Consider the following 13538-nt stretch of genomic DNA (forward strand, 5'->3'; position numbering starts at 1 on the left):
CAGCAGGTTTGAGACACTCTTTGTATAGCATGTGGAAATGGATATTTGGAGCGCTTTGAGGCCTATGGTGAAGAAGGAAATATCTTCCCAAAAAAACTAGACGAAAGCATTCTCGGAATCTTGTTTGCCATGTGTGTACTCAACTAACAGAGTTGAACCTATCTTTTGACAGAGCAGTTTTGAAACACTCTTTTTGTGGAATCTGCAAGTGGATATTTGGATAGCTTCGAGGATTTCGTTGGAAACGGGAATATCCTCATTTAAAATCTAGACGGAAGCATTCTCAGAACCTGCTTTGTGATGTTTGCATTCAACTCACAGAGCTGAACATTCCCGTTCATAGAGCAGGTTTGAAACACTCTTTCTGTACTATCTGGAAGTGGACATTTCGAGCGCTTTCAGGCCTATGGTGAAAAAGGAAACATCTTCAAATAAAAACTAGACAGAAGCATTCTCAGAAACTTATTTGTGATGTGTGTCCTCAACTCACAGAGTTCAACCTTTGTTTTGATACAGCAGTTTGGAAACACTCTTTTTGTAGAATCTACAAATGGATATTTGGAGACCTTTGAAAATTTCGTTGGACACGGGAATATCTTCATATAAAATCTAGACAAAAGCATTCTCAGAATCTTCTTTGTGATGTTTGCATTCAACTCATAGAGTTGAACATTCCCTTTCATACAGCACGTTTGAAACACACTTTGTGGAGTATGTGGAAATGGACATTTCGAGCACTCTTAGGCCTAAGGTGAAAAGGGAAATATCTTCAAATAAAAACTAGTCAGCAGCATTCTCAGAAACCTCTTTGTGATGTGTGTACTCAACTAACAGAGTTGAACCTTCCTTTTCACAGAGCAGTTTGGAAACACTCTTTTTGTGGCATTTGCAAGTGGATATTTGGATAGCTTTGAGGATTTCGTTGGAAACGGGAATATTTTCATATAAAATCTAGACAGAAGCATTCTCAGAATCTTCTTTGTGATGTATGCCCTCAATTCACAGAGTTGAACCTTTGTTTGGATACAGCATTTTGGAAACATTCCTTTTGTAGAATCTGCAAGTTGATATTTGGATAGCTTTGAGGATTTCGTTGGAAACGGGAATATCTACATATAAAATACTAGACAGAAGCATTCTCAGAAACCTCTTTGTAATGCTTGCATTCAACTCATAGGTTTCAACATTCCCTATCATAGAGCAGGTTTGAAACACTCTTTTTGTAGTATGTGGAAGTGGACATTTGGAGCGCTTTGAGGCCTACGGTGAAAAAGGAAATATCTTCCCATAAAAACTAGACAGAAGCATTCTCAGAAACTTGTTTGTGACGTGTGTATTCAACTAACAGAGTTGAACCTTTCTTTTTACAGAGCAGCTTTGAAACACGCTTTTTGTGGAATCTGCAATTGGAAATTTCGATAGTTCTGAGGATTTCGTTGGAAACGGGATTACAAATAGAAAGTAGACAGCAGCATTCTCAGAAACTGCTTTGTGATGTTTGCATTCAAGTCACCTAGTTGAACATTCCCTTTCATAGAGCAGGTTTGAATCACTGTTTCTGTCGTATCTGGAAGTGGATATTTCGAGCGTTTTCAGGCCTAAGGTGAGAAAGGAAATGTCTTCAAATAAGAACTAGACAGAAGCATTCTCAGAAACTTATTTGTGATGTGTGTCCTCAACTAACAGAGATGAACCTTTGTTTTGACACAGCAGTTTAGAAACACTCTTTTTGTAGAATCTACAAGAGGATATTTTGAGAGCATTGAAAATTTCATTGGAAGCGGGAAAACCTTCATATAAAATCTAGACAGCAGCATTCTCAGAAACTTCTTTGTGATGTTTGCATTCAACTCATAGAGTTGAACATTCCCATTCATACAGCAGGTTTGAGACACTCTTTGTATAGTATGTGGAAATGGATATTTGGCGCGCTTTGAGGCCTATGGTGAAGAAGGGAATATCTTCCCAAAAAAACTAGACGAAAGCATTCTCGCAATCTTGTTTGCCATGTGTGTTCTCAACTAACAGAGTTGAACCTATCTTTTGACAGAGCAGTTTTGAAACACTCTTTTTGTGGAATCTGCAAATGGATATTTGGATAGCTTCGAGGATTTACCTTGGAAACGGGAATATCCTCATATAAAATCTAGACGGAAGCATTCTCAGAACCTGCTTTGTGATGTTTGCATTCAACTCACAGAGCTGAACATTCCTGTTCATAGAGCAGGTTTGAAACACTCTTTCTGTACTATCTGGAAGTGGACATTTCGAGCGCTTTCAGGCCTATGGTGAAAAAGGAAATATCTTCAAATAAAAACTAGACAGAAGCATTCTCAGAAACTTATTTGTGATGTGTGTCCTCAACTCACAGAGTTCAACCTTTGTTTTGATACAGCAGTTTGGAAACACTCTTTTTGTAGAATCTACAAATGGATATTTGGAGACCATTGAAAATTTCGTTGGACACGGGAATATCTTCATATAAAATCTAGACAAAAGCATTCTCAGAATCTTCTTTGTGATGTTTGCATTCAACTCATAGAGTTGAACATTCCCTTTCATACAGCACGTTTGGAACACACTTTGTGGAGTATGTGGAAATGGACATTTCGAGCACTCTTAGGCCTAAGGTGAAAAGGGAAATATCTTCAAATAAAAACTAGCCAGCAGCATTCTCAGAAACCTCTTTGTGATGTGTGTACTCAACTAACAGAGTTGAACCTTCCTTTTCACAGAGCAGTTTGGAAACACTCTTTTTGTGGCATTTGCAAGTGGATATTTGGATAGCATTGAGGATTTCGTTGGAAACGGGAATATTTTCATATAAAATCTAGACAGAAGCATTCTCAGAATCTTCTTTGTGATGTATGCCCTCAATTCACAGAGTTGAACCTTTGTTTGGATACAGCATTTTGGAAACATTCCTTTTGTAGAATCTGCAAGATGATATTTGGATAGCTTTGAGGATTTCGTTGGAAACGGGAATATCTACATATAAAATCTAGACAGAAGCATTCTCAGAAACCTCTTTGTAATGCTTGCATTCAACTCATAGGTTTCAACATTCCCTATCATAGAGCAGGTTTGAAACACTCTTTTTGTAGTATGTGGAAGTGGACATTTGGAGCGCTTTGAGGCCTACCGTGAAAAAGGAAATATCTTCCCATAAAAACTAGACAGAAGCATTCTCAGAAACTTGTTTGTGACGTGTGTATTCAACTAACAGAGTTGAACCTTTCTTTTTACAGAGCAGCTTTGAAACACGCTTTTTGTGGAATCTGCAATTGGAAATTTCGATAGTTCTGAGGATTTCGTTGGAAACGGGATTACAAATAGAAAGTAGACAGCAGCATTCTCAGAAACTGCTTTGTGATGTTTGCATTCAAGTCACCTAGTTGAACATTCCCTTTCATAGAGCAGGTTTGAATCACTGTTTCTGTCGTATCTGGAAGTGGATATTTCGAGTGTTTTCAGGCCTAAGGTGAGAAAGGAAATGTCTTCAAATAAGAACTAGACAGAAGCATTCGCAGAAACTTATTTGTGATGTGTGTCCTAAACTAACAGAGTTGAACCTTTCTTTTGACACAGCAGTTTGGAAACACTCTTTTTGTAGAATCTACAAGTGGATATTTTGAGAGCATTGAAAATTTCGTTGGAAACGGGAAAATCTTCACATAAAATCTAGACAGAAGCATTCTCAGAAACTTCTTTGTAATGTTTGCATTCAACTCATAGAGTTGAACATTCCCTTTCATACAGCAGGTTTGAAACACTCTTTTTGTAGTATGTGGAAGTGGACATTTGGAGCGCTTTGAGGCCTACGGTGAAAAAGGAAATATCTTCCCATAAAAACTAGACAGAAGCATTCTCAGAAACTTGTTTGTGACGTGTGTATTCAACTAACAGAGTTGAACCTTTCTTTTTACAGAGCAGCTTTGAAACACGCTTTTTGTGGAATCTGCAATTGGAAATTTCGATAGTTCTGAGGATTTCGTTGGAAACGGGATTACAAATAGAAAGTAGACAGCAGCATTCTCAGAAACTGCTTTGTGATGTTTGCATTCAAGTCACCTAGTTGAACATTCCCTTTCATAGAGCAGGTTTGAATCACAGTTTCTGTCGTATCTGGAAGTGGATATTTCGAGCGCTTTCAGGCCTAAGGTGAGAAAGGAAATGTCTTCAAATAAGAACTAGACAGAAGCATTCTCAGAAACTTATTTGTGATGTGTGTCCTCAACTAACAGAGATGAACCTTTGTTTTGATACAGCAGTTTGGAAACACTCTTTTTGTAGAATCTACAAGAGGATATTTTGAGAGCATTGAAAATTTCGTTGGAAGCGGGAAAACCTTCATATAAAATCTAGACAGCAGCATTCTCAGAAACTTCTTTGTGATGTTTGCATTCAACTCATAGAGTTGAACATTCCCATTCATACAGCAGGTTTGAGACACTCTTTGTATAGCATGTGGAAATGGATATTTGGAGCGCTTTGAGGCCTATGGTGAAGAAGGAAATATCTTCCCAAAAAAACTAGACGAAAGCATTCTCGGAATCTTGTTTGCCATGTGTGTACTCAACTAACAGAGTTGAACCTATCTTTTGACAGAGCAGTTTTGAAACACTCTTTTTGTGGAATCTGCAAGTGGATATTTGGATAGCTTCGAGGATTTCGTTGGAAACGGGAATATCCTCATTTAAAATCTAGACGGAAGCATTCTCAGAACCTGCTTTGTGATGTTTGCATTCAACTCACAGAGCTGAACATTCCCGTTCATAGAGCAGGTTTGAAACACTCTTTCTGTACTATCTGGAAGTGGACATTTCGAGCGCTTTCAGGCCTATGGTGAAAAAGGAAACATCTTCAAATAAAAACTAGACAGAAGCATTCTCAGAAACTTATTTGTGATGTGTGTCCTCAACTCACAGAGTTCAACCTTTGTTTTGATACAGCAGTTTGGAAACACTCTTTTTGTAGAATCTACAAATGGATATTTGGAGACCTTTGAAAATTTCGTTGGACACGGGAATATCTTCATATAAAATGCTAGACAAAAGCATTCTCAGAATCTTCTTTGTGATGTTTGCATTCAACTCATAGAGTTGAACATTCCCTTTCATACAGCACGTTTGAAACACACTTTGTGGAGTATGTGGAAATGGGCATTTCGAGCACTCTTAGGCCTAAGGTGAAAAGGGAAATATCTTCAAATAAAAACTAGTCAGCAGCATTCTCAGAAACCTCTTTGTGATGTGTGTACTCAACTAACAGAGTTGAACCTTCCTTTTCACAGAGCAGTTTGGAAACACTCTTTTTGTGGCATTTGCAAGTGGATATTTGGATAGCTTTGAGGATTTCGTTGGAAACGGGAATATTTTCATATAAAATCTAGACAGAAGCATTCTCAGAATCTTCTTTGTGATGTATGCCCTCAATTCACAGAGTTGAACCTTTGTTTGGATACAGCATTTTGGAAACATTCCTTTTGTAGAATCTGCAAGTTGATATTTGGATAGCTTTGAGGATTTCGTTGGAAACGGGAATATCTACATATAAAATCTAGACAGAAGCATTCTCAGAAACTTCTTTGTAATGCTTGCATTCAACTCATAGGTTTCAACATTCCCTATCATAGGAGCAGGTTTGAAACACTCTTTTTGTAGTATGTGGAAGTGGACATTTGGAGCGCTTTGAGGCCTACGGTGAAAAAGGAAATATCTTCCCATAAAAACTAGACAGAAGCATTCTCAGAAACTTGTTTGTGACGTGTGTATTCAACTAACAGAGTTGAACCTTTCTTTTTACAGAGCAGCTTTGAAACACGCTTTTTGTGGAATCTGCAATTGGAAATTTCGATAGTTCTGAGGATTTCGTTGGAAACGGGATTACAAATAGAAAGTAGACAGCAGCATTCTCAGAAACTGCTTTGTGATGTTTGCATTCAAGTCACCTAGTTGAACATTCCCTTTCATAGAGCAGGTTTGAATCACTGTTTCTGTCGTATCTGGAAGTGGATATTTCGAGCGTTTTCAGGCCTAAGGTGAGAAAGGAAATGTCTTCAAATAAGAACTAGACAGAAGCATTCTCAGAAACTTATTTGTGATGTGTGTCCTCAACTAACAGAGTTGAACCTTTCTTTTGACACAGCAGTTTGGAAACACTCTTTTTGTAGAATCTACAAGTGGATATTTTGAGAGCATTGAAAATTTCGTTGGAAACGGGAAAACCTTCATATAAAATCTAGACAGAAGCATTCTCAGAAACTTCTTTGTAATGTTTGCATTCAACTCATAGAGTTGAACATTCCCTTTCATACAGCAGGTTTGAAACACTCTTTTTGTAGTATGTGGAAGTGGACATTTGGAGCGCTTTGAGGCCTACGGTGAAAAAGGAAATATCTTCCCATAAAAACTAGACAGAAGCATTCTCAGAAACTTGTTTGTGACGTGTGTATTCAACTAACAGAGTTGAACCTTTCTTTTTACAGAGCAGCTTTGAAACCCTGTTTCTGTGGAATCTGCAATTGGAAATTTCGATAGTTCTGAGGATTTCGTTGGAAACGGGATTACAAATAGAAAGTAGACAGCAGCATTCTCAGAAACTGCTTTGTGATGTTTGCATTCAAGTCACATAGTTGAACATTCCCTTTCATAGAGCAGGTTTGAATCACTGTTTCTGTAGTATCTGGAAGTGGGTATTTCGAGCGCTTTCAGGCCTAAGGTGAGAAAGGAAATGTCTTCAAATAAGAACTAGACAGAAGCATTCTCAGAAACTTATTTGTGATGTGTGTCCTCAACTAACAGAGATGAACCTTTGTTTTGATACAGCAGTTTGGAAACACTCTTTTTGTAGAATCTACAAGAGGATATTTAGAGAGCATTGAAAATTTCGTTGGAAGCGGGAAAACCTTCATATAAAATCTAGACAGCAGCATTCTCAGAAACTTCTTTGTGATGTTTGCATTCAACTCATAGAGTTGAACATTCCCATTCATACAGCAGGTTTGAGACACTCTTTGTATAGCATGTGGAAATGGATATTTGGAGCGCTTTGAGGCCTATGGTGAAGAAGGAAATATCTTCCCAAAAAAACTAGACGAAAGCATTCTCGGAATCTTGTTTGCCATGTGTGTACTCAACTAACAGAGTTGAACCTATCTTTTGACAGAGCAGTTTTGAAACACTCTTTTTGTGGAATCTGCAAGTGGATATTTGGATAGCTTCGAGGATTTCGTTGGAAACGGGAATATCCTCATTTAAAATCTAGACGGAAGCATTCTCAGAACCTGCTTTGTGATGTTTGCATTCAACTCACAGAGCTGAACATTCCCGTTCATAGAGCAGGTTTGAAACACTCTTTCTGTACTATCTGGAAGTGGACATTTCGAGCGCTTTCAGGCCTATGGTGAAAAAGGAAACATCTTCAAATAAAAACTAGACAGAAGCATTCTCAGAAACTTATTTGTGATGTGTGTCCTCAACTCACAGAGTTCAACCTTTGTTTTGATACAGCAGTTTGGAAACACTCTTTTTGTAGAATCTACAAATGGATATTTGGAGACCTTTGAAAATTTCGTTGGACACGGGAATATCTTCATATAAAATCTAGACAAAAGCATTCTCAGAATCTTCTTTGTGATGTTTGCATTCAACTCATAGAGTTGAACATTCCCTTTCATACAGCACGTTTGAAACACACTTTGTGGAGTATGTGGAAATGGACATTTCGAGCACTCTTAGGCCTAAGGTGAAAAGGGAAATATCTTCAAATAAAAACTAGTCAGCAGCATTCTCAGAAACCTCTTTGTGATGTGTGTACTCAACTAACAGAGTTGAACCTTCCTTTTCACAGAGCAGTTTGGAAACACTCTTTTTGTGGCATTTGCAAGTGGATATTTGGATAGCTTTGAGGATTTCGTTGGAAACGGGAATATTTTCATATAAAATCTAGACAGAAGCATTCTCAGAATCTTCTTTGTGATGTATGCCCTCAATTCACAGAGTTGAACCTTTGTTTGGATACAGCATTTTGGAAACATTCCTTTTGTAGAATCTGCAAGTTGATATTTGGATAGCTTTGAGGATTTCGTTGGAAACGGGAATATCTACATATAAAATCTAGACAGAAGCATTCTCAGAAACCTCTTTGTAATGCTTGCATTCAACTCATAGGTTTCAACATTCCCTATCATAGAGCAGGTTTGAAACACTCTTTTTGTAGTATGTGGAAGTGGACATTTGGAGCGCTTTGAGGCCTACGGTGAAAAAGGAAATATCTTCCCATAAAAACTAGACAGAAGCATTCTCAGAAACTTGTTTGTGACGTGTGTATTCAACTAACAGAGTTGAACCTTTCTTTTTACACAGCAGCTTTGAAACCCTGTTTCTGTGGAATCTGCAATTGGAAATTTCGATAGTTCTGAGGATTTCGTTGGAAACGGGATTACAAATAGAAAGTAGACAGCAGCATTCTCAGAAACTGCTTTGTGATGTTTGCATTCAAGTCACCTAGTTGAACATTCCCTTTCATAGAGCAGGTTTGAATCACTGTTTCTGTAGTATCTGGAAGTGGGTATTTCGAGCGCTTTCAGGCCTAAGGTGAGAAAGGAAATGTCTTCAAATAAGAACTAGACAGAAGCATTCTCAGAAACTTATTTGTGATGTGTGTCCTCAACTAACAGAGATGAACCTTTGTTTTGATACAGCAGTTTGGAAACACTCTTTTTGTAGAATCTACAAGAGGATATTTTGAGAGCATTGAAAATTTCGTTGGAAGCGGGAAAACCTTCATATAAAATCTAGACAGCAGCATTCTCAGAAACTTCTTTGTGATGTTTGCATTCAACTCATAGAGTTGAACATTCCCATTCATACAGCAGGTTTGAGACACTCTTTGTATAGCATGTGGAAATGGATATTTGGAGCGCTTTGAGGCCTATGGTGAAGAAGGAAATATCTTCCCAAAAAAACTAGACGAAAGCATTCTCGCAATCTTGTTTGCCATGTGTGTACTCAACTAACAGAGTTGAACCTATCTTTTGACAGAGCAGTTTTGAAACACTCTTTTTGTGGAATCTGCAAGTGGATATTTGGATAGCTTCGAGGATTTCGTTGGAAACGGGAATATCCTCATTTAAAATCTAGACGGAAGCATTCTCAGAACCTGCTTTGTGATGTTTGCATTCAACTCACAGAGCTGAACATTCCCGTTCATAGAGCAGGTTTGAAACACTCTTTCTGTACTATCTGGAAGTGGACATTTCGAGCGCTTTCAGGCCTATGGTGAAAAAGGAAACATCTTCAAATAAAAACTAGACAGAAGCATTCTCAGAAACTTATTTGTGATGTGTGTCCTCAACTCACAGAGTTCAACCTTTGTTTTGATACAGCAGTTTGGAAACACTCTTTTTGTAGAATCTACAAATGGATATTTGGAGACCTTTGAAAATTTCGTTGGACACGGGAATATCTTCATATAAAATCTAGACAAAAGCATTCTCAGAATCTTCTTTGTGATGTTTGAATTCAACTCATAGAGTTGAACATTCCCTTTCATACAGCACGTTTGAAACACACTTTGTGGAGTATGTGGAAATGGACATTTCGAGCACTCTTAGGCCTAAGGTGAAAAGGGAAATATCTTCAAATAAAAACTAGTCAGCAGCATTCTCAGAAACCTCTTTGTGATGTGTGTACTCAACTAACAGAGTTGAACCTTCCTTTTCACAGAGCAGTTTGGAAACACTCTTTTTGTGGCATTTGCAAGTGGATATTTGGATAGCTTTGAGGATTTCGTTGGAAACGGGAATATTTTCATATAAAATCTAGACAGAAGCATTCTCAGAATCTTCTTTGTGATGTATGCCCTCAATTCACAGAGTTGAACCTTTGTTTGGATACAGCATTTTGGAAACATTCCTTTTGTAGAATCTGCAAGTTGATATTTGGATAGCTTTGAGGATTTCGTTGGAAACGGGAATATCTACATATAAAATCTAGACAGAAGCATTCTCAGAAACCTCTTTGTAATGCTTGCATTCAACTCATAGGTTTCAACATTCCCTATCATAGAGCAGGTTTGAAACACTCTTTTTGTAGTATGTGGAAGTGGACATTTGGAGCGCTTTGAGGCCTACGGTGAAAAAGGAAATATCTTCCCATAAAAACTAGACAGAAGCATTCTCAGAAACTTGTTTGTGACGTGTGTATTCAACTAACAGAGTTGAACCTTTCTTTTTACAGAGCAGCTTTGAAACACGCTTTTTGTGGAATCTGCAATTGGAAATTTCGATAGTTCTGAGGATTTCGTTGGAAACGGGATTACAAATAGAAAGTAGACAGCAGCATTCTCAGAAACTGCTTTGTGATGTTTGCATTCAAGTCACCTAGTTGAACATTCCCTTTCATAGAGCAGGTTTGAATCACTGTTTCTGTCGTATCTGGAAGTGGATATTTCGAGCGTTTTCAGGCCTAAGGTGAGAAAGGAAATGTCTTCAAATAAGAACTAGACAGAAGCATTCTCAGAAACCTATTTGTGATGTGTGTCCTCAACTGACAGAGTTGAACCTTTCTTTTGACACAGCAGTTTGGAAACACTCTTTTTGTAGAATCTACAAGTGGATATTTTGAGAGCATTGAAAATTTCGTTGGAAACGGGAAAACCTTCATATAAAATCTAGACAGAAGCATTCTCAGAAACTTCTTTGTAATGTTTGCATTCAACTCATAGAGTTGAACATTCCCTTTCATACAGCAGGTTTGAAACACTCTTTTTGTAGTATGTGGAAGTGGACATTTGGAGCGCTTTCAGGCCTACGGTGAAAAAGGAAATATCTTCCCATAAAAACTAGACAGAAGCATTCTCAGAAACTTGTTTGTGACGTGTGTATTCAACTAACAGAGTTGAACCTTTCTTTTTACAGAGCAGCTTTGAAACCCTGTTTCTGTGGAATCTGCAATTGGAAATTTCGATAGTTCTGAGGATTTCGTTGCAAACGGGATTACAAATAGAAAGTAGACAGCAGCATTCTCAGAAACTGCTTTGTGATGTTTGCATTCAAGTCACCTAGTTGAACATTCCCTTTCATAGAGCAGGTTTGAATCACTGTTTCTGTAGTATCTGGAAGTGGGTATTTCGAGCGCTTTCAGGCCTAAGGTGAGAAAGGAAATGTCTTCAAATAAGAACTAGACAGAAGCATTCTCAGAAACTTATTTGTGATGTGTGTCCTCAACTAACAGAGATGAACCTTTGTTTTGATACAGCAGTTTGGAAACACTCTTTTTGTAGAATCTACAAGAGGATATTTTGAGAGCATTGAAAATTTCGTTGGAAGCGGGAAAACCTTCATATAAAATCTAGACAGCAGCATTCTCAGAAACTTCTTTGTGATGTTTGCATTCAACTCATAGAGTTGAACATTCCCATTCATACAGCAGGTTTGAGACACTCTTTGTATAGCATGTGGAAATGGATATTTGGAGCGCTTTGAGGCCTATGGTGAAGAAGGAAATATCTTCCCAAAAAAACTAGACGAAAGCATTCTCGCAATCTTGTTTGCCATGTGTGTACTCAACTAACAGAGTTGAACCTATCTTTTGACAGAGCAGTTTTGAAACACTCTTTTTGTGGAATCTGCAAGTGGATATTTGGATAGCTTCGAGGATTTCGTTGGAAACGGGAATATCCTCATTTAAAATCTAGACGGAAGCATTCTCAGAACCTGCTTTGTGATGTTTGCATTCAACTCACAGAGCTGAACATTCCCGTTCATAGAGCAGGTTTGAAACACTCTTTCTGTACTATCTGGAAGTGGACATTTCGAGCGCTTTCAGGCCTATGGTGAAAAAGGAAACATCTTCAAATAAAAACTAGACAGAAGCATTCTCAGAAACTTATTTGTGATGTGTGTCCTCAACTCACAGAGTTCAACCTTTGTTTTGATACAGCAGTTTGGAAACACTCTTTTTGTAGAATCTACAAATGGATATTTGGAGACCTTTGAAAATTTCGTTGGACACGGGAATATCTTCATATAAAATCTAGACAAAAGCATTCTCAGAATCTTCTTTGTGATGTTTGCATTCAACTCATAGAGTTGAACATTCCCTTTCATACAGCACGTTTGAAACACACTTTGTGGAGTATGTGGAAATGGACATTTCGAGCACTCTTAGGCCTAAGGTGAAAAGGGAAATATCTTCAAATAAAAACTAGTCAGCAGCATTCTCAGAAACCTCTTTGTGATGTGTGTACTCAACTAACAGAGTTGAACCTTCCTTTTCACAGAGCAGTTTGGAAACACTCTTTTTGTGGCATTTGCAAGTGGATATTTGGATAGCTTTGAGGATTTCGTTGGAAACGGGAATATTTTCATATAAAATCTAGACAGAAGCATTCTCAGAATCTTCTTTGTGATGTATGCCCTCAATTCACAGAGTTGAACCTTTGTTTGGATACAGCATTTTGGAAACATTCCTTTTGTAGAATCTGCAAGTTGATATTTGGATAGCTTTGAGGATTTCGTTGGAAACGGGAATATCTACATATAAAATCTAGACAGAAGCATTCTCAGAAACCTCTTTGTAATGCTTGCATTCAACTCATAGGTTTCAACATTCCCTATCATAGAGCAGGTTTGAAACACTCTTTTTGTAGTATGTGGAAGTGGACATTTGGAGCGCTTTGAGGCCTACGGTGAAAAAGGAAATATCTTCCCATAAAAACTAGACAGAAGCATTCTCAGAAACTTGTTTGTGACGTGTGTATTCAACTAACAGAGTTGAACCTTTCTTTTTACAGAGCAGCTTTGAAACCCTGTTTCTGTGGAATCTGCAATTGGAAATTTCGATAGTTCTGAGGATTTCGTTGCAAACGGGATTACAAATAGAAAGTAGACAGCAGCATTCTCAGAAACTGCTTTGTGGATGTTTGCATTCAAGTCACCTAGTTGAACATTCCCTTTCATAGAGCAGGTTTGAATCACTGTTTCTGTCGTATCTGGAAGTGGATATTTCGAGCGTTTTCAGGCCTAAGGTGAGAAAGGAAATGTCTTCAAATAAGAACTAGACAGAAGCATTCTCAGAAACTTATTTGTGATGTGTGTCCTCAACTAACAGAGTTGAACCTTTCTTTTGACACAGCAGTTTGGAAACACTCTTTTTGTAGAATCTACAAGTGGATATTTTGAGAGCATTGAAAATTTCGTTGGAAACGGGAAAACCTTCATATAAAATCTAGACAGAAGCATTCTCAGAAACTTCTTTGTAATGTTTGCATTCAACTCATAGAGTTGAACATTCCCTTTCATACAGCAGGTTTGAAACACTCTTTTTGTAGTATGTGGAAGTGGACATTTGGAGCGCTTTGAGGCCTACGGTGAAAAAGGAAATATCTTCCCATAAAAACTAGACAGAAGCATTCTCAGAAACTTGTTTGTGACGTGTGTATTCAACTAACAGAGTTGAACCTTTCTTTTTACAGAGCAGCTTTGAAACACGCTTTTTGTGGAATCTGCAATTGGAAATTTCGATAGTTCTGAG

General features: G+C 37.9%; 1 annotated feature.

The window, feature by feature from the left end:
- Positions 1 to 13538: part of a centromere (Linear centromere model derived predominantly from reads generated in PMID: 17803354. This region does not represent an actual centromere sequence, as long-range ordering of repeats and unmapped WGS contigs is not provided by the model. For details of model production, see http://arxiv.org/abs/1307.0035.) that runs on past both edges of the window.

The sequence above is a fragment of the Homo sapiens genome, chromosome 15 (genome assembly GCF_000001405.40).
Source record: "Homo sapiens chromosome 15, GRCh38.p14 Primary Assembly".
NCBI classification, from domain to species: Eukaryota; Metazoa; Chordata; class Mammalia; order Primates; family Hominidae; genus Homo; species Homo sapiens.